General features: G+C 45.7%; 1 protein-coding gene across 19 annotated transcripts in view, besides 5 other annotated features; it reads left to right on the top strand.

The window, feature by feature from the left end:
• The window catches only part of FAM222B (family with sequence similarity 222 member B), a 99,025-nt gene that overhangs the window by 8,837 nt on the left and 62,986 nt on the right, over nt 1-27,202 (top strand). For 7 of the 19 annotated variants that reach the window (NM_001288639.2, NM_018182.4, NM_001288638.2 and 4 more), the window contains exons 1-2: nt 3,378-3,486; nt 11,842-11,875. The exons of 3 other annotated variants lie outside the window; for them this stretch is intronic. The gene's annotated coding sequence lies outside the window, so the exon portion shown is untranslated. Of the gene's footprint in view, nt 1-3,377; nt 3,487-11,841; nt 11,876-27,202 lie in introns of those variants that run through there. 9 more of the 19 variants (NM_001288640.2, NM_001077498.3, NM_001288631.2 and 6 more) reach the window with 2 other exon arrangements.
• Nucleotides 3,285-3,799: an enhancer, noted in NCBI's record as "H3K27ac hESC enhancer chr17:27169387-27169901 (GRCh37/hg19 assembly coordinates)". NCBI's record gives its function as "activates a minimal SCP1, AML or CMV promoter by ChIP-STARR-seq in naive H9 embryonic stem cells {active_cell/tissue: H9 hESC(naive)}" and the evidence as "EXISTENCE:reporter gene assay evidence [ECO:0000049][PMID:30033119]".
• Nucleotides 3,410-3,599: a silencer, noted in NCBI's record as "silent region_8356". NCBI's record gives its function as "represses an Ori minimal core promoter by ATAC-STARR-seq in GM12878 lymphoblastoid cells {active_cell/tissue: GM12878}" and the evidence as "EXISTENCE:reporter gene assay evidence [ECO:0000049][PMID:35858748]".
• Nucleotides 7,641-8,524: an enhancer, noted in NCBI's record as "H3K27ac hESC enhancer chr17:27164662-27165545 (GRCh37/hg19 assembly coordinates)". NCBI's record gives its function as "activates a minimal SCP1, AML or CMV promoter by ChIP-STARR-seq in primed H9 embryonic stem cells {active_cell/tissue: H9 hESC(primed)}" and the evidence as "EXISTENCE:reporter gene assay evidence [ECO:0000049][PMID:30033119]".
• Nucleotides 23,230-23,729: an enhancer, noted in NCBI's record as "H3K4me1 hESC enhancer chr17:27149457-27149956 (GRCh37/hg19 assembly coordinates)". NCBI's record gives its function as "activates a minimal SCP1, AML or CMV promoter by ChIP-STARR-seq in naive H9 embryonic stem cells {active_cell/tissue: H9 hESC(naive)}" and the evidence as "EXISTENCE:reporter gene assay evidence [ECO:0000049][PMID:30033119]".
• Nucleotides 23,730-24,231: an enhancer, noted in NCBI's record as "H3K4me1 hESC enhancer chr17:27148955-27149456 (GRCh37/hg19 assembly coordinates)". NCBI's record gives its function as "activates a minimal SCP1, AML or CMV promoter by ChIP-STARR-seq in naive H9 embryonic stem cells {active_cell/tissue: H9 hESC(naive)}" and the evidence as "EXISTENCE:reporter gene assay evidence [ECO:0000049][PMID:30033119]".

Raw genomic sequence — 27,202 nt, 5'->3', positions numbered from 1 at the left:
GCAGTGGCATGGTCTCGGCTCACTGCAACCTCCACCTCCTGGGTTCACGCCGTTCTCCTGCCTCAGCCTCCTGTGTACCTGGGACTACAGGCGCCCGCCACCATGCCCAGCTAATTTTTTGTATTTTTAGTAGAGACGGGGTTTCACCGTGTTAGCCAGGATGGTCTCGATCTCCTGACCTCGTGATCCACCCGCCTTGGCCTCCCAAAGTGCTGAGATTACAGGCGTGAGCCACCAGGCCCAACCCTTATTTATTTATTTATTTTTCTTTTTGAGATGGAGCCTTGCTCTGTCACCCAGGCTGGATTGCAGTGGCGCAATCTTGGCTCACTACAACCTCCACCTCCCGGGTTCAATTGATTGTCCCACCTCAGCCCCCCAAGTAGCTGGGACTACAGGCACCCGCCACCATGCCCGGCTAATTTTTTGTATTTTTAGTAGAGATGGGGTTTCACCGTGTTAGCCAGAATGGTCTCGATCTCCTGACCTTATGATCTGCCCACCTCGGCTTCCCAAAGTGCTGGGATTACAGGTGTGACCCACTGTGCCTGGCCTATTTATTTATTTTTTCTTTTTTTCCTTTTTTTTTTGAGACAGAGTCTCGCTCTGTCGCCAAGGCTGGAGTGCAGTGGCGCGATCTCGGCTCACTGCAAGCTCCGCTTCCCAGTTCATGCCATTCTCCTGCCTCGGCCTCCCGTGTAGCTGGGACTACAGGCGCCCACCACCACGCCCAGCCAATTTTTTTGTATTTTTGTATTTTTTTTTTTTGAGATGGAGTCTCGCTCTGTCCCCAGGCTGGAGTGCAGTGGCACCGTCTTGGCTCACTGCAAGCTCTGCCTCCGGGCTTCACGCCATTCTCCCGCCTCAGCCTCCCAAGTAGCTGGGACTGCAGGGGCCCGCCACCATGCCCGGCTAATTTTTTATATTTTTAGTAGAGATGAGGTTTCACCGTGTTAGCCAGGATGGTCTCGATTTCCTGACCTCGTGATCCGCCCACCTCGACCTCCCAAAGTGCTGGGATTACAGGCCTGAGCCACCGCGCCCGGCCCTATTTATTTTTTTAATTGAGATGGAGTCTCACTCTGTTATCCAGGCTGGAGTGCAGTGGTGCGATCTCGGCTCATTGTAACCTCCGTTCCTGGGTTCAAGCGATTTTCCTGCCTCAGCCTCCTGAGTAGCTGGGACTACAGGTGCATGCCACCATGCCCAGATAATTTTTGTATTTTTTCAGTAGAGACAGGGTTTCACCGTGTTGGCCAGGCTGGTCTCGAATTCCTGGCTTCAAGTGATCCGCCCGCCTTAACCTCCCAAAGTGCTGGGTTTACAGGCATGAGCTATCTTGCCTGGCCACTATTTTTTAGATTTTTTGTAGAGATGAGTCTCCCTATGTTGCCCAGGCTGGTCTCTAACTCCTGGGCTCAAGCAATCCTCCCAACCTGGCCTCCCAAAATGTTGGGATTACAAGCATAAGTCACTATGCCCAGCTTTATTTTTAATTTTTTTTTCTTTTGAGACGGAGTCTCGCTCTGTCGCCCAGGCTGGAATGCAGTGGCTTGATCTCGGCTCACTGCAAGCTCCGCCTCCCGGGTTCACGCCATTCTCTTGCCTCAGCCTCCTGAGTAGCTGGGACTACAGGCGCCCGCCACCACGCCCGGCTAATTTTTTGTATTTTTAGTGAGACGGGGTTTCACCGTGTTAGCCAGGATGGTCTCGATCTCCTGACCTCATGATCCGCCCGCCTCGGCCTCCCAAAGTGCTGGGATTACAGGCGTGAGCCACTGCACCTGGCCTATTTAAATTTTTTTAACATTCCTCATTGAGCACTCAACTTGTCTTTTTTTCTTCTCTTTTTCCCCCTTACGTTGTATCTTGGGCCTTATGTGTCCAAACTCTGAAGAGAGGAGACCAGCGCTGGAGTTGAGAGAGAAAAAAGAGCCATGGTGATGAGGAGAGAGTTTAGTCCTGTACCTCCTCTTGCCTGCTGCTTTCAAGTCTGTTTTGTTGAATTCTCAGGACTCGATTGAGCTTAGTCTCTTGTCAGGCTATGCCAAAGCAGCACAGTAGTCTAGGGACTGACAGTTGGGCCTCACTGGACTTTAGTGGTTTTCTTTTACCAGTTTGAAAAAGGGCCAGGCTCACAGTGAGAGCTGGAAAGCAGGGGACTATTTGCCTGCGAATTCCTCAATAGCATACACGCGATGCCTAGAACATTTCTGTCCAATAAACAGCATGTGCTTGATAAACATACTGAACTTAGCGGTGTCCCCAGTGCATTCTAGGCGAGGTCACCTCCTTGACAAGGTCCCCAGGACTTCATTGCACCTCCTAGCTAGTAGCGTATTCTAGGATGGCAAAGCTGCCTTTACATAATTACCCCCGATACATTCTAGACACGATCATCTTGAAAGAGACCCAAATTTTACCAGGCATGGTGACTCAGGCCTGTAATCCCAGCACTTTGGGAGGCCGGGGCGGGCGAATCATCTGAGGTCAGGAGTTCGAGACCAGCCTGGCCAACATGGTGAAACCCCGTCTCTACTAAAAATACAAAAGTTAGCCAGGCGTGGTGGTGCAAGCCTGTAATCCCAGCTAGTCAGGAGGCTGAGGCAGGAGAATCGTTTGAACCCGGGAGGCGGAGGTTGCAGTGAGCTGAGATCGCGCCACTGCACTCCAGCCTGGGCAACAAGAGCAAAACTCCGTCTCAAAAAAAAAAAAAAAAAAAAAAGACCCAGGCTGGGCGCGGTGGCTCATGCTTGTAATCCCAGCGCTTTAGAAGGCTGAGGTGGGTGGATCACCTGAGGTCGGGAGTTCGAGACCAGCCTGACCAACATGATAAAACCCCGTCTCTACTAAAAATACAAAATTAGCTGGGCGTGGTGGTGCATGCCTGTAATCCCAGCTACTCGGGAGGCTGAGGCAGGAGAATCGCTTGAACCCGGGAGGCGGAGGTTGTTTGAGCCGAGATCACGCCATTGCACTCCAACCTGGACAACAAGAGCGAAACTTCGACTCAGAAAAAAAAAAAAAAAGACCCAAATTTATCATCAGTGGTCACCTCAGAGCACCTGAATTCAGGCCTTTAAGTGCAAGTAGGATGCAGAATTCTGGAAGAGCCAGTAAGTCTGTGGCTCCTTGGGGAAGCGCGATCCAAGGGTTTAGTAACCTAGGCACGGTACTCCAGAGGCGTACCCTGAGGCAGCCGCCAAATTCTCTAAGCCTCAGAATTCTTCAAGGCCAGCTCCCATGTCCACTAGAGACCCAGGGGTCCAGACCATCAGGCACTGAGGAAGACGCCCCCGGCAGGGGCTGCGCAGGCGCGTGCGGCCCGAAAGGGCCCAGGCGCTACACGCTGCGCAGGCGCAGGAGCGGCTCCGGGTAGTCCCCACAGCTGCGCCGGTGACTGAGGGGCCGGGCAGTGGAGAAGTGGTGGCGGCGGGCGGCGGGCGGCAAAGGAGCAGCCATGAGGGCCGGGCCCAGTCACCGACCGTGAGTAGTGGTGGAGGGGGAGTGGACAACGCGTGGGAAGAGGGTAACTTAGCGGAAGGATACATGACTTTGTGGGGTGGGCTCTGACTGTGGGAGACGGAAGGGCGTGGGGGAGGTACAGTTTGAGGTGATGATGGGAGAATTTGGGGCACGGGTGGCCCGGTCGCCGGCCGCAGAGCTGGACAGCTTGGTGGAGGGGGACGGGGTTGCGTGCTGTGGAGTGAAGCAGCCCATTTGTATCATCCCTTCCTCCAGGAGCTTTTGGTCGCCTCTCCTTTCCGCTTCTTTCAGAGAATGATTGCGGGGGGAGGGTGGTGGAGGATGAAAGCTCTGCTGGAGCTTAAGAAGCCACCTCTGAACCAGGCAGGGGAAGGGTCGGTCTCCCGGAGTAATAGGCTGCTCTGGGTAGAGGATGGGAGTCGGGAACCCTCTTTTGAAAGCCGGGAGGGGTCTAGGGAAAAGAGCTAGGGGCTTAGAGTCAGGCAGGTTCGAAAGGAAGTCCACCATTGATAAAGCTGTTAGGTAACCTTGGGCAGGTCCCACTTAACCTTTCTGAACACCAGGAAGATGTCATGCTTCAAACGGGCTATTGCAAGCATCACCTATGTAATTGAGATTGTTTATGCAAATTGTGAATTGTAAGTACTATGTTGATGTTAATGTATCACCAACAATGTTAGTGGAATTTAGACCTTACCGTTGTTAATGGAATGACTGATTTCTCTGTTAAGATAAGAAGCGTATTGTTTGTAAAACCTCAGTAGACACATATGTGCTTTCTTTATGGGCACAGCAGACCATGTGCAGAACTACCAGTTCTGTAATGTGATAAATTAGCCATCAGACTTCTGTAGGAAAAATACCGTACTCCGGCGTTTTTACAAACGGTTTGCAGCTCCTCACCCGAAAGGATGGAGGGCCAATCTATTAAAATATTTTCTGAACATAGCTAACTCATGTTGCCTTATAACACAGTTGGCACTAATGTGCTTTAACGAGTTGAGAAAAGGCCGGGTGCAGTGGCTCATGTCTGTAATCCCAGCACTTTGGGAGGCCGAGGCGGGCGGATCACGAGGTCAGAAGTTGGAGACCAGCCTAGCCAACGTAGTGAAATCCCGTCTCTACTAAAAATACAAAAAATCAGCCGGGTGTGGTGGCGGGCGCCTGTAATCCCAGCTGCTTGGGAAGCTGAGGCAGGGGAATCACTCGAACCCGGGAGGCAGAGGTTGCGGTGAGCCGAGATAGTGCTATTGCACTCCAGTTCGGGTGACAGTGCGAGACTCCGTCTGGAAAAAAGAGTTAAGAAAACTAGTTTGAGACAAGCTGGGAGGGCTGCCCAGTGAGGGATGTGAAAATATAATTTGTTTATTATATTTTATTTTATTTTTGAGACGGAGTCTCGCTCTGTCGCCAGGCAGGAGTGCAGTGGCATCATCTCGGCTCACAGCAACCTCCGCCTCCCGGGTTCAAGCGATTCTCCTGTCTCAGCCTCCTGAGTAGCTGGGATTACAAATGCCCACCACCACGCCTGGCTAATTTTTGTAGTTTTAGTAGAGATGGGGTTTCACCATGTTGGCCAGGCTGGTCTTGAACTCCTCACGTCAGGTGATCCACCCACCTCGGCCTCTCAAAGTGCCGGGATTACAGGCGTGAGCCACCGTGCCTGGCTATTTTGTTATCTTTATTTTTATTTTATTTTATTATAATTTTTTTTGAGGTGGGTGAAGGAGTCTTGCTCTGTCACCCAGGCTGGAGTGCAGTGGTGCGAACTTGGTTCACTGCAACCTCCGCCTCCTGGGTTCAAGCAATTCTCCTGCCTCAGCCTCCCTAGTACCTGGGATTATAGGCACGTGCCACCATACCCGGCTAATTTTTGTATTTTTTTTAGTACACTCGGGGTTTCTCCATTGCTGGACAGGCTGGTCTCAAACTTCTGACCTCAGGTGATCCGCCCGCCCCAGCCTCCCAAAGTGCTGGGATTACAGGCGTGAACCACCGTGCTTGGCCCATTTTATTATTTTTAAATTATAAAAAGTTCTCCTTTGCAAAGGAGTCTCTGGCTGCTCCGGGGACCTGTCGCTGTTTTGGAGGTCAGATATGCATAAGGCAGCCCTCTAGCTCTGCTTTTTGTTACCCTGCTTGTCAGTGGGATCTCTCAGGTGGAATATCTCAGAAGAGGAGCCCAAGAGGTGTCTTGGTTTTCCTGAGAGGCTGAAGAAACACTCCTGAGACGTGTTTTTTAATGTAGACAAAGCAGAGGACAAACTATGTGTTTATGGAAAGAGAAAATGGGTTCTTTTTATTTTATTTTGTTTTGACACAGAGTCTTGTTCTGTCGCCCAGGCTGGAGTGCAGTAGCGCAATCTCGGCTCATTGCAACCTCCACCTCCCGGGTTCAAGCAGTTCTCCTGCCTCAGCCTCCAAGTAGTTGCGATTACAGGCACCCACCACCATGCCCGGCTAGTTTTTGTATTTTTAGTAGAGATGGGGTTTCGCCATTTTGGTCAGGCTGGTTTCGAACCAGGTGATCCGCCTGCCTCGGCCTCCCAAAGTGCTGGGATCACAGGCGTAAGCCACCAAGCGCAGTGAGAAAATGGTTTCTAAAGTAGAGATGCAGACTCCTTTTAAAAGGACATAGACACTTCAGCTTTGCTGACTCTGAGGATTGAGACCTTAAACTGTCAAGGCGTTTTGGCAATTGATGAGTGATTGGTCTTTTACCTGAGTAAAGGTAGGGAGGGGCTATACTAGATTCTTGAAGATTCACAAATAAGGGGAGTGAATTTACAGGAATGGGAAAAATGAACCTGGTTGTTTTTAACTTCTCTGTCTGGTAAAATGTGTTTCACTTTTCTTTCCTGGAAATGCACAGTGATGTATAATTTTAACCTTTTTACTTTAGTTCCTTGACCGTCCCAATAGATTATTTGTCTATAATACTTTGTTTAAGATAATAGTTTTAAAAATAAAGCATTTGTTACTATTGTGATAGGTCATTACAGAAATTTATTCCATGTTTGACTACTACATGGAGTAGAGTATAAAATGTTAAAGCTGGGCATAGCTATCTTATTTTATTTTTTAATAGTTGGACATTTATTTTTAATGTTGGTAATGCATTTTTCCCCCTACTGGAAATTTCCATCAGTTCAAATAAGCGCATAAATGCCACCCATGTTATGTTAAAATAATAGAGGTTTGTTCAGCTGTGATGAGAATTTCCTGTCCTCCTCTCCTTCTGTTATCTTTCCTACTTGTGGTTACTTTTATGTAGTAAATGACCTTACAAAATGAGGATTTCTTTCCCTGGGGAAGAAAAAGGGGTGGGCTAGTATCTTGATTGCCTTTCGTGTGAGAAGTTTTTCTAAAGTGGGAGAGGAACTTTGGAGATTTAAGGACTTCCTGTGAATCTCTGACATACCAGGGGCTAAAATAAATATTTATTGGCTTATTATTATCATTATTATTATTTTTTGAGACGGAGTCCTGCTCTGTTGCCCAGACTGGATTGCAGTGGCGCGATCTCGGCTCACTGCAAGCTCCGCCTCCCGGGTTCTCGCCATTCTCCTGCCTCAGCCTCCCTAGTAGCTGGAACTACAGGCACCCGCCACCATGCCTGGCTAATTTCTTTTCATATTTTTAGTAGAGACGGGGTTTCACCGTGTTAGCCAGGATGGTGTCGATCTCCTGACCTTGTGATCTGCCCGACTCAGCCTCCCAAAGTGCTGGGATTACAGGCATGAGCCACCATGCCCGGCCTTATTTTATTTTTTTTGATACCAAGTTTCACTCTGTTGCCCAGGCTGGAGTGCAATGGCGAGATCTCAGCTGATTGCAACGTCTGCCTCCTGTGTTCAAGTGATTCTCTGGTCTCAGCCTCCTGAGTAGCTGGGATTACAGGCGCGTACCACCATACCTGGCTGATTTTTGTATTTTTAGTAGAGATGACGTTTCACCATGTTGGCCAGGCTAGTCTCGAACTGCCGACCTCAGGTGATCCGCCTGCCTCGGCCTCCCAAAGTGCTGGGATTGCAGGTGTGAGCCACCGCGCCCAGCCAAAAATCTTTTTTTTGTTTTTAAATTCTATTTATTTATTTATTTATTTTGAGATGGAGTCTCTGTCGCCCAGACTGGAGTGCAGTGACGCGATCTCGGCTCACTATAAGCTCCGCCTCCAAGGTTCACGCCATTCTCCTGCCTCCGCCTCCTGAGTAGCTGGGACTACAGGTGCCCGTCACCACGCCCGGCTAATTTTTTGTATTTTTAGTAGAGATGAGGTTTCACCGTGTTAGCCAGGATGGTCTCGATCTCCTGACCTTGTGATCTGCCTACCTCGGCCTCCCAAAGTGTTGGGATTACAGGCGTGAGCCACCGCGCCCGGCCTATTTGTTGTTTTTTTGAGACAGGGTCTCACTCTGTCGCCCAGACTGGAGTGCAGTGGCGCCATCTTGGCTCAGCGCAACCTCTGCCTCCCTGGCTCAAGCAGTTCTCCTGCTTCAAGCAGTTCTCCTGCTTCAGCCTCCTGAGTAGCTGGGATTACAGGCATGGCACTACTGCCCGGATAATTTTTGTATTTTTAGTAGAAATGGTGTTTCACCATGCTGGCCAGTCTGGTCTCGAACTCCTGACCTCAAATGTTCCACCCGCCTCTACCTCCCAAAGTGCTGGGATTACAGGCGTCAGCCACTGCATCCGGCCTAAAAACATTCTATTTAAAAACAAAATTATTGGTCGGACATGTTGGCTCACTCCTGTAATCCTAGCACTTTGGGAGGCCGAGGTGGGTGGATCATTTGAGGTCAGGAATTCAAGACCAGCCTGGCAAACAAAGTGAAACCCCGTCTCTGCTAAAAATACAAAGATTAGCTGGGCATGGTGGCACCCGCCTGTAATCCCAGTTACTTAGGAGACTGAGGCGGGAGAATCGCTTGAATCCAGGAGGTGGAGGTGGTAATGAGCCGAGCTCATGCCATGGCACTCCACCCTGGGCGAAACAGCGAGCGAGACTCCGTCTCAAAAAACAAAAAAAAAAAAACAAAAAGAAGTATTTAATATCTATTTCTGTCTTATTACCTCTCAGGGTCTCGATTGTTTCCCTGTCAAAGCTCTGTGACTTATAGTGAAAAGGACTACAATTTAACAAGAAAAATACTAAATTTTCTTTATTACAGATGCATTTAATACAAGGAGGGGTAATCAGATTTGCTGGCTCAATTTTTTTAAAAATTTATTTATTTATTTTTTTTTTTTTTGAGACGGAGTCTCCCTCGGTCGCCCAGGCTGGAGTGCAGTGGCTCGATCTCGGCTCACTGCAAGCTCTGCCTCCCGGGTTCACGCCATTCTCCTGCCTCAGCCTCCCTAGTAGCTAGGACTACAGGCGCCCACCAACACACCCAGCTAATTTTTTGTGTTTTTAGTAGACACGAGGTTTCACTGTGTTAGCCAGGATGGTCTCGATCTCCTGACCTCGTGATCCACCCGTCTCAGCCTTCCAAAGTGCAGGGATTACAGGCGTGAGCCACCGCACCTGGCCTTTAAATTTATGTATTTATTTATTTACTTTTTGAGATGGAGTCTCACTCTTGTCACCCAGGCTGGAGTGCAGGGGTGCGATCTTGGCTCACTGCAGCCTCCACTGCCCGGGTTCAAGCTTCTCCTGCCTTATCCTCCTGAGTAGCTGGGATTACAGGTGCCCGCCACTATGCCTGGCTAATTTTTGTACTTTTAGTAGAGATGGAGTTTTGCCATGTTGGCTGGGCTGGTCTCGAACTCCTGACCTCAGGTGATCAGCTTAAGGGAGGAGCCCACCCCTCTTATGCCCAATATGGGTCTTATGCCCAATATCTGCCTCCAAAGAAAGAAGTAAAAACTAAAAGGCAGAAACGAAATCCACCAGTAGACAGCCCGGCGCCACACCCTGGGCCTGGTAGTTAAAGATCGACCCCTGACCTAATAGGTTATGTTATCTATAGATTACAGACATTGTATAGAAAAGCACTGTGAAAATCCCCATCCTGTTCTGTTCCGTTCCAATTACTGGTGCATGCAGCCCCCAGTCACGTACCCCCTGCTTGCTCAATCGATCACGACCCTCTCACGCAGACCCCCTTAGAGTTGTGATCCCTTAAAAGGGACAGGAATTGCTCACTTGGGGAGCTCGGTTGTTGGAGACGTGAGTCTTGCCGAAGCTCCCGGCCGAATAAAGCCCTTCCTTCTTTAACTCAGCATCTGAGGGGTTTTGTCTGTGGCTTGTCCTGCTACAAGCCCGCCTCATGGCCTCCCAAAGTGCTGGGATTACAGGCGTATGCTGGCTCAATTATTAAATGGTGGTTTGGTACAACACTGGATCATACTATTTCATGGGAAAATATAGGTCATTTAAGAAGTGATTTAGGGCCAGGCGCGGTGGCTTATGCCTGTAATCCCAGCACTTTGGGAGGCCGAGGCGGGTGGATCACAAGGTCAGGGGTTTGAGACCAGCCTGGCCAATATGGTGAAACCCCATCTCTTCTAAAAACACACAAATTAGCTGGGTGTGGTGGTGGACGCCTGTAATCCCAGCTACCTGAGAGGCTGAGGCAGGAGAATTGTTTGAACACGGGAGGCGGAGGTCTCAGTGAGCCGAGATCATGCCACTGCACTCCAGCCCGGGCAACAACAAGAGGGAGACTCTGAAAAAAATATATAATAAAAATAAGAAGTGATTTAAGTTGGCATGGTGGTTCATGCCTGTAATATCAGCACTTTGGGAGGCCTAGGCAGGAGGATCACCTGAGCCCAGGAGTTCCAGACCAGCCTGGGCAATAAGGTGAAACCCTCTCTTTACAAAAAAATAAAAAAAAATGAGCCGGGTGTGGTGGCATGCACCTATAGTCCCAGGTACTTGGGAGGCTGAGGTGGGAGGATCACTTGAGTACAAGAGATGAAGGATGTAGTGAGCAGTAATCTGAGCTGTAAACTCGCTATTGCACTCCAGCCTGGGCGACAGAGTGAGACCCTATTTAAAACAACAACAAAAAACTGTTTTGTTTAAAAGATTTACTTGGTTACCAATTTTCTGGGAACTAACCCTGAAACTAGTTGGGAAAAATATGCAAATCTAGAAACAACATAAGTATCAATTTGCGAATTTGTGTAATGTCTTTTTTTCTACCAGTAAGCCATAACTAGGCTTGAATCGTAAGCTTTTTGGATTCTGTGGCCTCATTGAAAAAATGTTGGAGTTGATCCTTTCAGCAGTCAACTTCAGCAAATATTTAAGTGTCTACCATGTGTTATGTCTTGTACTAGGCGCTGGGAGGGAATTAAAATATAAATGACAAAATCATTTTTAAAGAGTTCACTGTTGGCCAGATGCAGTGGCTTACACCTGTAATCCCAGCACTTTGGGAGGCCGAGGTGGGCGGATCATGAGGTCAGGAGTTCAATACCATCCTGGCCAAGATGGTGAGACCCCGTCTCTACTAAAAATTAGCCAGGCGTGGTGGCAGGTGCCTGTAATCCCAGCTACTCAGGAGGCTAGGATTGAGAATTGCTTGAACCCGGGAGGTGAAAGTTGCAGTGAGCTGAGATCACGCCACTGCACTCTAGCCTGGGCGATAGAGCGTGACTCCATCACACACACACACACACACACACACACACACACACACACACAAAATTAGCTGAGTGTAGTGGTGGGCGCCTGTAATCCCAGCTGCTCAGCAGGCTGAGGCAGGAGAATCGTTTCAACCTGGGAGGCATAGGTTGCAGTGAGCTGAGGTCACGCCATTGCACTCCAGCCTGGGCAACAGGGTGAGATTCCATCTCAGGGAAAAAAAAAAAAAATTGACTTTTTTTTTTTCTTTTTTTCTTTTTTTTTAAGGCTAGCCAAGTGAAGCAGTGGGAATGAAGAAGCAACAAAGAAATTTGTAACTTCTTATATCAATTACTTGTAAACACTACTGCACTCGGACCAGCCACATTTTAATTAGAGACCAACACATAAATAGTTCTGAGTCAGTACAATAAGTGCTGTAATAGAGATCTGTACTAAGTGCTATGGGAACATTAGTTCTGCCTTGTAGTGGGAGGGGAAAGTTAGAGAAGACTTCCTAGAGAAAGAGTCAGTTGGGTCTTGAAGGAGGAATACAATTTGGCTGAGTCAGCAAAAAAAAGGATTGGAAAAGTTACTGTTTGAAGTGCAGAAAATAGCTTGTACAAAGATACAGATGTGCAAGAAGTATGGACATGTGGACTAGTTTAATGTGGCAGGATCATGGGGTATGAGGAAGGAGTAGAAGAAAGTGAGGTGAGAGATGGGTTGGAATCCAGTTATGGATGACCTTAGTAAGGGGTCTGAATTTTATTTTGTAGGTGCTGAGGAGTCATGGAAGAGTTTTTAAACCAGGTAAGGAACATGTTTAGATCACTATTTAAGTAGAAGTAACTCTGTTGACAGTATAGAAGTTAGACTTTAAAAGGCACAATTGATTGTAGGGAGACTAGTTGGTTGGGAGAATGGTGTGATGACTTGAGAGATTGACGAAATCAGGTACAGTAGTCATGGTGGAATTGTAGACTGATTGGAGAACTTTTTAGGAGAGTAACTAAAAGGATCTCATTGACTTTATATTGGAGGACGGGTAAAGAAGAAGGAGTTGTCAAAGATGGAGTTGAAATTGCTGGCATGGACAACTAAGTGGAATGTGATGTCATTAACCAAGTTACGGAATACAAGAGTAAAAGAGGGTATTACATTTGAAGGAAATAAGTTTGATTTTGGTATATAGGATTTGAGGTATCTGGGAAATCCAATAGGCTTCCAGATATACCTAGGTCTTGAGTAGAAAGGTTCAGAAGGGAGATACAGATTTAGTAGTCATTAGCATATTAGTAGTGAAAGTCAGCTTGATGACTCTGTGAGTCCAAGCTTCAGTTGCTTTATATGTTGTTCATTCGTATCTTTTTGAGAGATTAGTTTTGCAGGAATGTGGCATGACAACTACTACTTCATAGTACAGTGCTAGTCCTTTTCCTTATTTTTCAATTTTTTTTTTCTGTGAACTTCTTTTTTTTTTTTTTTTTTTTGAGACAAAGTCTCACTCTGTTGCCCAGGCTGGAGTACAGTGGCACGATCTCAGCTGACTGCAACCTCAGTCTCCTGGGTTCAAGGAATTCTCCTGCCTCTCCCAAGTAGCTGGGACTACAGGCGCACACCACCACGCCTAGCTAATTTTTGTATTTTTAGTAGAGACGGGGTTTCACCATGTTGGCCAGGGTAGTCTCGAACTCCTGACCTCAGGTGATGCACCTGCTTCGGCCTCCCAAAATACTGGGATAACAGGCATGAGCCACCATGCCCAGTGGAACTTATTTATTTATTTATTTTTTTGAGAGGGAGTCTCCCTCTGTTGCCCAGGCTGGAGTGCAGTGGGGCCATCTCAGCTCACTGCAACCTCCACTTCCTGGGTTCAAGGTATTCTCCTGCCTCAGCCTCCCAAGTAGCTGGGACTACAGGCGCGTGCCACCATGCCTGGCTAATTTTTTGTATTTTTAGTTGAGACCAGGTTTCACCAGGTCTCGAACTCCTGACCTTGTTATCCGCCTGCCTCAGCCTCCCAAAGTGCTGGGATTACAGGCCTGAGTCACCGTGCCTGGCCCCTTTCCTTTTTTTTTTTTTTTTTTTTTTTTAATAGAGACAGAGTCTTAACTGTGTTGCTCAGGGTGGTCTCAAAATCCTGGCCTCAAGTGATCCTCCTGGCTCAGCCTCCCAAAGTGCTAGGATTTTAGGTGTGAGCCACTGTGCCCAGCCTTTCTTTTTTAACTGGTATCACTTTCCACTTTTTTGGAGGATTCTTTTTGTAGCTTGTTTGCAAGGTAGGACATCCTATTTTCAACTTCTCCCCCTTCTTGCTGTTATTCAAAGCAATTGGTCATTCAAAACAGACTTATGTATTTCTCTGTCTCTGCTAGGAGCTAAAATGTAAATATTTAGTGTTTTCTCCTTCATACCCAGAGTTTATGTCCTGATGGGAGAAACAAGTTAACTCTCAATTATAGAGTTAAGAGTGATGATAGAGGTCTTTAGGGTGTAATGGAAATATGTTAACCCTTAACCCATATTTGGGGAGAATCAAGGAAGGCTTGTGCATGGAGGATTGTCCAAAGTAAGACCTGAAGGATGTGTACGATTTAGGTGAAGAGTCAGAGGAAGATCATTGGCAGCAGAGGGACCATTGTTTGTAAAGTGCAAGAAGCTTAACATTTTATCTGTTTGGAATGAATAGCTTGTCTTTTATGAAAAATGGGTTTTCAACTCTGTTGTACTAAACAATAATACATATCTTTAAATAAAACATTTTTCTTTTCTTCTGGACAACTGCAGGAAATCTCAGAACAGCTGTGCAAGTAAAACTTTAGAATCTTGAAAAATAGATATTAGATTTCTAATCCTCCTAATACCTCCATTGTTTTTTTCTTTATTATTTTTTATTTTTATTTTATTTTTTTTGAGATGGAGTCTTGCTGTGTTGCCCAGGCTGGAGTGCAGTGGCGCGATCTCGGCTCACGGCAAGCTCCGCCTCCCGGGTTCATGCCTTTCTTCTGCCTCAGCCTCCTGAGTTGCTGGGACTACAGGTGCCTGCCACCACGCCTGGCTAATTTTTTTGTATTTTTAGTTGAGACGGGGTTTCACCGTGTTAGCCAGGATGGTCTCGATCTCATCACCTTGTGATCTGCCCTCCTCGGCCTCCCAAAGTGCTGGGATTACAGGCGTGAGCCACTGCACTCGGCCCAGCATTGTTTTTTTCTTTAAGTAAATCTAGGAAGCTAACCCCTACTTAAAAGTAGACACTTTGTGGGAAAGTTTAAAAAGTCTTTGACATGGTCAGGCATGGTGGTTCATGCCTGTAATCTCAGCACTTTGGGAGGCAGAGGTGGGTGTATTGCTTGAGCCTAGGAGTTCCCAGGGTTCGAGACCAGCCTGGGAAACATGGTGAAATCCCATCTCTACAAAAAAATACAAAAATTAGCCTGGCATAGTTGCTCACACCTGTAATCCCAGGTACTTTGGAGGCTGAGGCAGTAGGATTGCTTGAGCCCAGAAGGCGGAGGTTGCAGTGAACCAAGATCGCAACACTGCACTCCAGCCTGGGTGACAGAGTGAGACCCTGTATCAAAAAAAAAAAAAAAAAAAAGCCTTTGACAAGCTAATTCTAAAATTTATATGGAAAGGCAAAGGGACTAAAATAGCCAAAACAATTTTGAAAAAGGACAACAGAGTTGGAAGACTCATACTATCTGATTTCAAGACTTAATAAAGAGCTACAGTAATCAAGACAGTGTGGTATTGGCAGAAGGATAGATACATAGATCAATGAACAGAACAGAGGTTCAGACATAGATTCAGGCCGGGCACGGTGGCTTATGCCTGTAATCCCAGCACTTTGGGAGGTCGAGGTGGGGGATCACTTGAGGTCAGGAGTTTGAGACCAGCTTGGCCAACATGGTGAAACCCCATCTCTACTAAAAATACAAAAATTAGTGGGGCATGGTGGTGAGCACCTGTAGTCCCAGCTACTCAGGAGGCTGAGGCAGGAGAATCACTTGAACCCAGGAGGCAGAGGTTGCAGTGGCCGAGACCATTCCACTACATTCCAGCCAAGGTGACAGAGCGAGACTCCGTCTCAAAAAAAAAAAAAAAAAAAAAAAGAAACATTCACACTATTAAGTATGGCTATTGATATTTGACCGAGGTGCAAAGGCAATTCAGTGGAGAAAGAATAGTCATCTCAACAATTACACCTAAATGTAATTTGTAAAATTATAAAATATTTTTATTATTTTATTTTAACTTTATTTTATTTTATTTTTTTTTTAATAGAGATGGGGTTTTGCCATGTTGCCCAGGCTGGTCTCAAACTCCTGGGCTCAAGCCATCTGCTTACCTCAGCCTTCCACAGTGCTGGGACTACAGGTGTTAGCCACCATGCCCGGCCTAAACTATGAGATTTAAAAGAAGATAAGAGAAAATCCTTATTACATTGAGTTAGGCAAAGAGTTCTTAGATATGACACCAAAAGCAAGATCCATAAAAATAAAAAGTTGATAAATTGGATTTCATCAAAATTAAAAACTTTTGCTTTGCAGAAGACTGTCAAGTAGATGAAAATATAAGCAACACACTGGGAGAAATGTTCGCCAATTATGTATCAGACATACAGCTCATATTAAGAATGTATAGGCCGGGTGTGGTGGCTCACACCTGTAATCCCAGCACTTTGGGAGACCGAGGCAGCTGGATCACGAGGTTGGGAGATCAAGACCATCCCGGCTAACACGGTGAAACCGCTTCTCTACTAAAAAACAAAGAATTAGCCAGGCGTGGTTGCGGGCACCTGTAGTCCCAGCTGCTTGGGAGGCCGAGGTAGGAGAATGGCGTAAACCTGGGAGGCGGAGCTTGTGGTGAGCCAAGATCGCGCCACTGCACTCCAGCCTGGGCAACAGAGTGAGACACGCTCTCAAAAAAAAAAAAAAAAAAGAATGTATAAAGAGGCTGGGCGAAGTGGCTTACTCCTGTAATCCCAGCACTTTGGGAGGCCGAGGTGGGTGGATCACGAGGTCAGGAGATGGAGACTATCCTGGTTAACACAGTGAAACCTCATCTCTACTAAAAATACAAAAAATTAGCCAGGCATGGTGGCTTGCGCCTGTAGTCCCGGCTACTCGGGAGGCTGAGGCAGGAGAATTTCTTGAACCTGGGAGGTGAAGGTTGCAGTGAGCCGAGATCGCGCCACTGCACTCCAACTCCAGCTTGGGAGACAGAGTGAGACTCGGTCTCAAAAAAAAAAATTTAAAAAAAATGACCTAAGTATTTATCCAAGTGAAATAAAAATCTGTGTTCACAAAAAAACTTGTATGTGACTGTTTACAGCAGCTTTATTTATAGTCACCACAAACTGGAAACAACCTGAATGACTCTCAGCTGGGGAATGGATAAACAAACTAATGTATCTACACAATGGAATACTACTCAGCAATAAAAAGGAACTATTCATATATGCAATAACATGAATGAAACTCATTGGTATTATGCTTAGTAAAAGAAACAAAACTCAAAAGGCTATGGTCTGTATGATTGCATTTGTATGATGTTCTGGGGAAAACTCAACTATAAGGACAGTGGGGAACAGATCAGTGATTGCCTTTGGGTAAGACTAGAGAGACAGTGGGCCGGGCGCAGTGGTTTATGCCTGTAATCCCAGCACTTTGGGAGGCCGAGTTGGGGCGGATCACCTGAGGTCGGGAGTTTGAGACCAGCCTGAGCAACATGGAGAAACCCTGTCTCTACTAAAAATACAAAATTAGCTGGGCGTGGTGGCGCAGCTTGAACCCGGGAGGCGGAGGTTGCGGTGAGCCAAGATGGCGCCATTGCACTCCAGCTGAGGCAACAAGAGTGAAACCACGTCTCAAAAAAAAAAAAAGAGTAGAGAGAGGGTGGCCAAGCGTGATGGCTCACGCCTGTAATCCCAGCACTTTGGGAGGCCGAGGCGGGCAGATCTCGAGGTCAGGAGTTCGAGATCAGCCTGGCCAATGTAGTGAAATCCCATCTCTACTAAAAATACAAAAATTAGCCGGGCATGGTGGCGCGCACCTGTAGTCCCAGCTACTCGGGACGCTGAGGCAGGACAGTCGCTTGAACCCGGGAGTCGGAGGTTGCAGTGAGCCGAGATGGCGCCATACTGCACTTCAGCCCGGTGATAGAGCGAGACTCCGTCTCAATTAAAAAAAAAAAAAAGTAGAGAGTTGACTGCAAAGAGGTAGTATGAGGAAATTTTTTGGGGGTGACATGACTGTTCCGTATTTTGATTGTAGTTGTGGTTACACAACTATGCATTTATGAGAACTCTTAGAACTGAACAATAAAAGAATGTTATTTTTGTCTGGGGCAGAGAAGAGAGACTTTAAAGACTAATTCCAGAAATGTAATTCCCTAAATACATTTGAATTTTTAGCTTAATTTTCTTTTTTAATACATTTTACATAATTAAAAGTGAAAAGTCTAGAAAATTTAAATCCTTTTGAATTTATTTTACTTAGAAATGCAGTTGTATGTTTTTTGTTTTTTTTTTTTCGTGACAGAGTCTTCTCTGTAGCTCAGGCTGGAGTGCAGTGGCACAATCACAGTTCACTGCAACCTATGCCTTTGGGCTCAAGCGATCCTCCCACCTAAGCCTCTTGAGTAGCTGGCACTACAGATGGTGCGCCACCATGCCTGGCTAATTTTTTGTGGGTATTTTTTTTTAGAGATGGGGTTTTGCCATGTTGCCCAGGGTGGTCGTGAACTCCTGGGATCAAGTGATCTGGTCACCACAGCCTCCCAAACTGCTGGGGTTGCAGGTGTGAGCCTCTGTGCCCAGCTCACTTTGTTTTTTTGAGACAAGGTTTCCCTCTTACCTAGCTACTCAGGAGGCTGCGGCAGGAGAATTGCTTGAACCCGGGAGGCGGAGGTTGCTGTGAGCCGAGATCGCACCATTGCACTCCAGCCTGGGCAACAAGAGTGAAACTCTGTCTCAAAAAAAAAAAAAAAAAAAAAAAAAAAAAAAATTGGATTTGATCTTGATTTCTCCTTACCCCTTATCCGACATATCTGGTTGGTCCCAGGTCTGATTTTAATGTTGAAGTTCTCCTAAATCTGCATTTTTTCATTTATACCATATTGCCAAATTCTTGGATGAGACCTTTTTTATTTCTTAACTCTGACAGTTACAGTAGCCTCCTAACTAATCTGCATGTCTCAAGGCTTATCACCCCTCTAGTCTGTCCACCACACTGCCACAAGAATGATCTTCCTAAGTTGTAAGACTACTTATGCCCTTTCCCTTTAAAGCCCTTCATTACCCTAGTGCCTGATACATAGCAGATGCTTGATTCCATCTTCCTTCCTCACTTTATTATATTTTTGCTCAAGCTATTTTCTTTTCTTCCAAGGACATTTCTTCCAAAATAGACAAACATAAACAATTATCTGAACAAACATAACTAAGACTCTCCTAATTAAGCTTTAGGATTTAGCTCATAGTTAATTTCTTCTGTGAAGTCTTCCCTGTTCCCAAGGCAGTATTAATCACTCTTGCTGATGGGCTACTCTGACATTTTACTATCCTGCTAACATTACCTTTATTATTATTTTTTACATTGTTTAAATGACAGCATCTCATTCTATTAAATAGAATGCATGTTCCTTACATTTATTATTTAATTGCTATTCTGTTTCCTCATCTGGATTGTGAGCTTTTTGTAGGTAGGGGTTATTCCTTTTTCACTTTTTCTTTTTTTTTCAATAGACAAGATCTCACTGTGTTACCCAGGCTTGGAGTGCCATGGCACTGTCATAGCTCACTGCAGCTTCTAAAGTCTTGGGCTCAAGCAATCCTCCTGCCTCAGCCTCCCAAGTAGCTAGGACTACAGATGCAAGCCAGCGTGCAAGTTAATTTTTAAAATTTTTTGTGGAGATGGGGTTTCAATATGTTGTCCAGGCTGTTTTTTTCTTTTTTTGAGACAGAGTTTAATTCTCCACCAGGCTAGAGTATAGTGGTGCTGTTATAGCTCACTGCAACCTCAAACTCCTGGGCCTAAATGATCCTCTCGTGTCAGCCTCCCAAGTAGCTAGGACAATAGACACTAGCCACTGTGCCTGGCTAATGAAAAAAAAAATTTTTTTGGCAAAGACAAGGTCTTGCTATATTGCCAATGCTGGTCTCAAGCTCCTGGCCTCAAGTGATCTTCCCACCTCAGCCTCGCAAAGTGCTGGGATTACAGGTGGTGAGTGCCTGGCCCTTTTTCACCTTTTTAACTTCAGCACCTAACAACTAAGCCTGCCAAATGTATTGAGTTTCTACTATGTTTTCAGCATTGGCAGTACACAAAACAAGATAGACAAAGTCCCTGCTGTTATGGAGCTTACATTCCAATGAGGGCAAACAGACAACAAACAGATTTTTTTTTTTTTTTTTTTTTTGAGACGGAGTTCTGCTCTTGTTGCCCAGGCTGGAGTGCAATGGCGCCATCTTGGCTCACCACAACCTCTGCCTCCCAGGTATAAGCGATTCTCCTGTCTCAGCCTCCCAAGCAGCTCAGATTACAAGCATGCACCACCACGCCTGGCTGTTTTTTTTGTGTTTAGTAGAGACAGGGTTTCACCATGTTAGTCAGGCTGGTCATGAACTCCTGACCTTAGGTGATCCACTGGCCTCGGCCTCCCAAAGTGTTGGGATTACAGGCGTGAGCCAACCTGTCCAGCAACAGACAGCTTTTTAAAAATCAGTTAATGGCCGGGCGTGGGTGGCTTATGCCTGTAAACCCAGCACTTTAGGAGGCCGAGGCAGGCAGATCACTTGAGGTCTGGAGTTCGAGACAAGCCTGGCCAACATGGTGAAACCCTGTCTCTACTAAAAATACCAAAAATTAGCTGGGTGTGGTGGCATGAGCCTGTAGTCCCAGCTATTCAGGAGGCTGAGGCAGGAGAATCGCTTGAACCGGCAGGCAGAGGTTGCAGGGAGCCAAGATCGTGCCACTGCACTCCAGCCTGGGCTACAGAGCAAGACTCAGTCTCAAAAAAACAACAAAAAAAACAGTTAATGGCCGGGCACGGTAATCCCAGCACTTTGGGAGGCCGAGGTGGGCAGATCACTTGAGGCCAGGAGTTCAAGACCAGCCTGGCCAACATGACAAAACCCCATCTCTACTTTTATACAAAAATTAGGCGGGCATGGTGGTGGGTGCCTGTAATCCCAGCTACTTGGGAGGCTGAGGCAGGAGAATTCTTGAACCCAGGAGGCAGAGGTTGCAATGAGCCAAGATCGCGCCACTGCATTCCAGCCTGCGAGACAGAGCGAGACTCCATCTCAAAAATAAAACAAAATAAATAAAAATCAGTTAATGATAAACACTGTACAGAAAAATAGAGGATGTGATAGTATGAATTGATAGCTACTTTATATTGGGAGAATATCTCTCTAAGGATATGGCATTTAAGATCTAGGAGTATATGAAGATCAGCAGATCAAACATTATAGTGCAGAACACCTAAGGAGGAATGAGCTTGGTATGTTGAAGGAACAGAAATCAGGCCAGTGTTGTTTGAATACGGTGAATGAGGGAGAGAATGACGAGATGACAAAGGCAGAGGCTAGGTGACAGTGAGATTTGGAAGCTAGGGTAAGGTGTTTCGTTTCCTTTGGAGTGTTTTTTTTTTTTTTTTTTTTTTGAGACGGGATCTCACTCTGTCACCTAGGTTGGAGTGCAGTGGTGCAATCTTGGTTCCCCGTAACCTCCACCACCGGGCTAAGGGATCCTCCCACCCCAGCCTCTCAAGTAGCTGGGACCATAGGTGCACGCCTCTACGTCCGGCTAATTTTTTTTGTATTTTTGGTAGAGACCAGATTTCACCATGTTGCCCAGTCTGTTCTCAAACTCCTAAGCTCAGGCAATTCACCTGCTTTGGCCTCCCAAAGTGCTGGGATTTCAGGCGTGAGCCACTGCACCCAGCCTCCTTTGGAGTTTTTAAGTACGAGTATGATATGAGTCGATTTGTGACTAGAAAGAATGTTCAGTTGCTATGTTAGAAATGGATTGTAGTGCGGGCACAGTGGTTCACGCCTGTAATCCCAGCACTTTGGGAGGCCAAGGCGGGCGGATCACCGAGGTCAGGAGTTCGAGACCAGCCAGACCAACATGGAGAAACCCCATCTCTACTAAAAATACAAAATTAGCTGGGCGTGGTGGCACATGCCTGTAATCCCAGCTACTCGGGAGGCTGAGGCAGGAGAATTGCTTGAACCTGGGTTGCGGTGAGCTGAGATCATGCCATTGCAATCCAGCTTGGTCAACAAGAGCGAAACTCCACCTCAAAAAGAAATGGGTTGTAGAAGGAAGCAAGGAGACCAGTAACAAGGCTCTTTGCACGAATCAAATGAGACTTTATGGTAACTTGGACTGGGGTGATGGTATAAAAGCTGTGGAAAGATGACAGATTTGGCATATCTTTTGGAAGTGAAGTTGACAGGGCTTGCTTTGGGATTGTTACACCTTTGGAAGTGAGGTAATAAGGAATCATGGATAACTTCTATATTATTGACTGGAGCAACCAGGGAGGTAAATGGTTGTTGCTGTTAATTGATATGGGTAAGACTAGCAGAATATAATTGTCAAAAATTCTTGGACAGTGGTGGCTCATGCCTGTAACCCAGCACTTTGGGGGTCTGAGACAAGAGGATCACCTGAGCCCAGGAGTTTCAGACGAGCCTCGGCAAGATAGAGAGACCCTGTGTCTACAAAAAAATAAGAAAATTAGCCAGGTGTGGTAGTACATGCCTGTGGTCCCAACTACTTGAGGGGCTGAGGTGGGAGGATGGCTTGAGCCCAGGGGGTGGAGGTTGCAGTGAGCTGTGATTGTGCCATTGCACTTCAGCCTTGGCAACAGAGTGATAACTTGTCTAAAATTAAAAAAAAAAAAAAAATTCTCGGCCGGGCGTGGTGGCTCACGCCTTTAATCCCAGCACTTTGGGAGGCCGAGGCGGGTGGATCATGAGGTTAGGAGATCGAGACCATCCTGGCTAACACGGTGAAACCCTGTCTCTGCTAAAAATACAAAAAATGAGCTGGGTGTGGTGGCAGGCGCCTGTAGTCCCAGCTACTTGGGAGGCTGAGGCAGGAGAATGGCATGAACCTGGGAGGCAGAGCTTGTAGTGAGCCGAGATTGTGCCACTGCACTCCAGCCTGGGCGACAGAGCAAGACTCCGTCTCAAAAAAAAAAAAAAAAAAAATTCTCTTTTGGTCCTGCCAAGTTTGAGATACTTGTTAGGTATCCAAATGGAGAAATTAGATAGGCAGTTGGATAGAAATGCCTGGCATTCCTAGGAGAATTCTGAGCTGAAATAGATAGAATTTGAAGTCATGGTATTTAATCAGGAGGTCATCTACAGATGGTTTGTGGCTAGAGAAGAGCAATTTGAAAGAGAAGGAATAGCTAGTGAGATAGGTGGAAAACCCAGAAAGTGATGTTTTAGAAGGCAAGTAAAGAAGTGTTTCAAGAAGGGAGTGGTCAGCCTGGGTAACATAGTAAGATCCTGTGTCTACAAAAAATAGAAAATTAGCTGTTTGTGGTGGCACATGCCTATGGCAGTCCCAGGTATTCAGGAGGCTGAGGTGGGAGAATTGCTTGAGTCTGGAAGGTTGAGGCTGCAGTAAGTGGTGATTGTGCCACTGCACTCCGGCCTAATTGCACCACTGCACTCCATGTGACAGAGCTAGACACTTTCTCAAAAAAAAAAAAAAAATAGAACGGAGTGGTGAGCTCTGTTGAATGCTATATAGAGGTCACGTAACAGAGAAGTACTCACAGGATTTGACAACCTAGGGATTATTGGTGACTTCCAGTAGAACCGTTCATTGGAGTGGTGGAAATAGAAGTCTAATTGTAGTTGATTGAGGGGGAAAAATAAGATGAAGAAACATTTGATCATTTTTTTTGTTTTTGTTTGGTAACAGGTTTTGGCACCCAGTTTCCTTGAAAACTTCCTGTGTCATTGTAACTAAGTACTTACCTGTTTGTATTCCAGTTGAATATGTTTTTTTTTTCCCCCCAAGATGGAGTCTCAGTCTCTTGCCCAGGCTGGAGTGCAGTGGCGTGATCTTGGCTCACTGCAACCTCTGCCCCGAGTTCAAGTGATTCTCCTGCCTCAGCCTCCTGAGTAGCTGGGACTACCTGCGCATGGAAGCACGCCTGGCTAATTCTATATTCATATATGTGTGTGTGTATATATATATATGTGTGTATATATATATATATATATATATATATATATATTTTTTTTTTTTTTTTTTTTTTTTTTTTTTTGAGATGGAGTCTTGCTCTATCGCCCAGGCTGGAGTGCAGTGGCGTGATCTCAGCTCAGTGCAATCTCCACCTCCTGGGTTTTAAGCAGTTCTCTCTGCCTCAGTCTCCCAGGTGGCTGGGATTACAGGCGCCTGCCACCATGCCCGGCTAATTTTGTATTATTATTATTATTTTTTGTGGTGGAGTTTCGCTCTTGTTGCCCAGGCTGGAGTGCAATGGTGCAATCTCGGCTCTTTCCAACCTCCGCCTCCCGGGTTCAAGCGATTCTCCTACTTCAGTCTCCCAAAAGTGCTGGGATTACAGGCTTATGCCACTGCGCCCAGCTTAATTTTTGTATTTTTAGTAGAGACGGGGTTTCACCATGTTGGCCAGGCTGGTCTTGAACTTCTGACCTCAGGTGATCCACCTGCCTTCGGCCTCCCAAAGTGCTGGGATTACAGGCGTGAGCCACTGTGCTGCCTGGCCTTTTTAAAAAATACTTTTAGGCCGGGCGTGGTGGCTCATGCCTGTAATCCCGCACTTTGGGAGGCCGAGGTGGGTGGATCACGAGGTCAAGAGATCGAGACCATCCTGGCCAGTATGGTGAAACCCCGTCTGTACTAAAAATATACAAATTAGCTGGGTGTGGTGGCGCGTGCCCGTAGTCCCAGCTACTTGGGAGACTGAGGCAGGAGAATCGCTTGAACCCAGGTGGGGGAGGTTGCAGTGAGCCGAGATCGCACCATTGCTGGGATTATAGGCGTGAGCCACTGCACCCAGCCTGACTATGTATTTTTGTTGAATTAGTATCTTTCAGTGTTTTTGTGCCATTATTTTATTTTATTTGTTTATTTATTTTGAGACGGACTCTTGCTCTGTCGCCCAGGCTGGAGTGCAATGGTGCAATCTCGGCTCACTGCAACCTCTGCCCAGCCCCAGGTTGAAGCGATTCTCCTGCCTCAGCCTCCTGAGTAGCTGGGATTACAGGCATGCGCCACCACGCCCAGCTAATTTTTGTATTTTTAGTAGAGATGGGGTTTCACCATGTTGGCCAGGCTGATCTCCAACTCCTGACCTCATGTGATCCACCTGCCTCAGCCTCCCAAAGTGCTGGTATTACAGGCATGAGCCACCTCTCACCCGGCCCTGTACGATTATTTTATATGGACTCCTATTTCCAAAAACCTGCTTTAACTACTTTTATGAGCAATACAGGTAACTGGTGAGCGAATGAGACTTTTTATAAGGGTTAGGCCCTTGGTCTATAAGAAAAGCAGACTGACTTGACCTTGTTCTTAAAGTACATCAGTTTTCTCAGCTGTCAAATGAGGATAACAGGACCATTTTGGCTTGTTGGGTGGTTGTGATGCATGACTACTAATGAAAATAATTGTAAAACACTTTTGCAAGTTAAAGTGTGATATAAATGCTAAATAATAGTTCTTTATTGGGATGTTGTGAAAATAAGCAACATGCTTTTTATTGAGAGGCCTTAAATTCCTTTTGAGGAGGCAATATATTTTTATAAGTACTATTAGATCACTTTAGAATGTTCATATTATTAGAGTTTTGGCCAGGCGCAGTGGCTTACACCTGTAATCCCGCACTTTGGGAGGCCGAGGTGGGTGGATCACGAGGTCAAGAGATCGAGACCATCCTGGCCAATATGGTGAAACCCCGTTTGTACTAAAAATATAAAAATTAGCTGGGTGTGGTGGCGCGTGCCTGTAGTCCCAGCTACTTGGGAGACTGAGGCAGGAGAATCGCTTGAACCCAGGTGGGGGAGGTTGCAGTGAGCCGAGATTGCACTGTTGCACTCCAGCCTGGCAACAGAGCGAGAGTCCATCTCAAAAAAAAAAAAATAAAATAAAAAGAGTTTTACCAGACTGGGTGCAGTGGCTCACTCCTGTAATCCCAGCACTTTGGAGGCTGAGGCAGGTGGATCATTTAAGGTCGTCAGGAGTTTGAAACCAGCCTGGCCAACATGGTGAAAACCCATCTCTACTAAAAATATTTTAAAAAATTAGCTGGGCGTGGTGGCAGGCGCCTGTAATTCCCGCTACTCGGGAGGCCAAGGCACGAGAATTGCTTGAACCCAGGAGGCAGAGGTTGCAGTTATCCGAGATCTTGCCACTGCACTCCAGCCTGGGTGACAGAGCGAGACTTCGCCTCAAAAAAAAAAAAAAAGTTTTACCATTTTTGCTTTTTGGTTCAGATGAGGAATGAATTCCACCTTATGGTACTTGCATTGCTGAATGTTTAAAGGCCTGATGGGAGTGACTTATTGTGTCTATATTTATAGCATCACAGCCAATCAATAGAAACACTCACACACAAAAGACACTGAAAAAACATTTTAACTTGCTATAGGTAACACCTTAAAGACATTTTAATGCAGGATTAGGTGATTGTTGCAGTTAGGCTTTGAAGAGTGACATGGTACCATTTTAGACAAAACTAACACTCCTTGTTCCATACCAGAGTCTAAATATAGAATCAGTGGCATCATTACCTGTAATGTACTTAGGAACTACATTGAAATTTGAATCTGTTGAACTAAATTTTTCTCAGCCTTTTAAGTGACATTAACAATAGAGGAAAATTGGGATGTTGTCTAAAAGCCAAAAAGGGAAAACTGAAATGGTTATGGGATAGTCTGCTGACGTGCTGGGAACTTTACCCTGACACCTCACCTGGGATCGTATATATTGTTTTTAGTATAGGGACCTGTGTGTTGCTAATTTTAGAACAAAGTAACATGAAGTTTTTTTAGCTTTATGCAGGTTGGACTGGAATCTTTTTTTCTGGAATTTGAGTTCTTTCACAATCCATTTACCTTTTTGTATCAAGGACAAGTGAAAGGCTTAGGTTTCTTTTCCTCTTTGATGGGAAGACTGTACTTGCTTTTGCTGGACTCAGGCATTATCTGCTTTTGCATTTGCATTTGGTGACTGCTAAAAGGGTCCTTGAATGACATGCTTTCACAGCAAAGACAGTTGAGTAATTTTATTTTCTTAGAGACGTTTTATTTCTGTGGTTGTAGTAAGACTCCCTGTTATTTGCTTTCATCATCAGCTTTGTTCATTCTAGGCTTAGGGATTGGCTTCAACTGTTTTACATTCATAGGCAAAGGTTCATTTTATATTCATATTTTAGTTCTCTTGGATTTAATTTGTAGCTTATATGTATCCATTATATTGAATAGTTTCCTTCCTAGATTAGGTATTTCATAAAACTTCTAAATATTTTTAGGAATGTATTACTTATGCTTGACATCTTTATCATTATTTTTTTCATTCAAAATAGCCCAAGTTTCTCTGGAAGCTTGCAGTTGGCAGTACTATCAAGACAAAATGCCTTTAGGACTGTATGGAGAAGGCACTTTCCACCACTACCTAACAAAATGGAATATATATATAATTTTTGACTTTATGTATTTCTTCTGTGATTTACTATCTCATATTCTTTGAATATTTTCCCCTTTGGTTATTTGTCTTCCTCTTATTTAGTTATAAGAGTTCTTTGTATATTGTGGCATTCAACTCTTTTTTATGTGATGTTAGTATTCCTTAAGGCTATGAATAAGAAGTGAGAAGGGAGGCTATTGCATTGAATGCTAATCCCAGATGGTGTTTGGTTAAATTGTTTTATTGTTTGCCTTGATTATTTGAGCAATGGTAAGCTTCTTTTGTCTCTTCCTTTCCAAAGATGCATAGAAAAGCTCCTTCTGTCTGAAGTAAAGTGTTGGCTCTGTGTTGGTTATAATTTGCTTTTTCTGGCTTGCACAGCCTTCTTTTTGTTTTCTGTCTTCTGACAGATTATAGGATTGTGGGGAAACAGCGTCCAGGGCTTTTTCAG

Source organism: Homo sapiens, chromosome 17 (genome assembly GCF_000001405.40).
Source record: "Homo sapiens chromosome 17, GRCh38.p14 Primary Assembly".
Lineage (NCBI taxonomy): Eukaryota > Metazoa > Chordata > Mammalia > Primates > Hominidae > Homo > Homo sapiens.
This window is presented reverse-complemented; position numbering and strand designations above follow the sequence as displayed.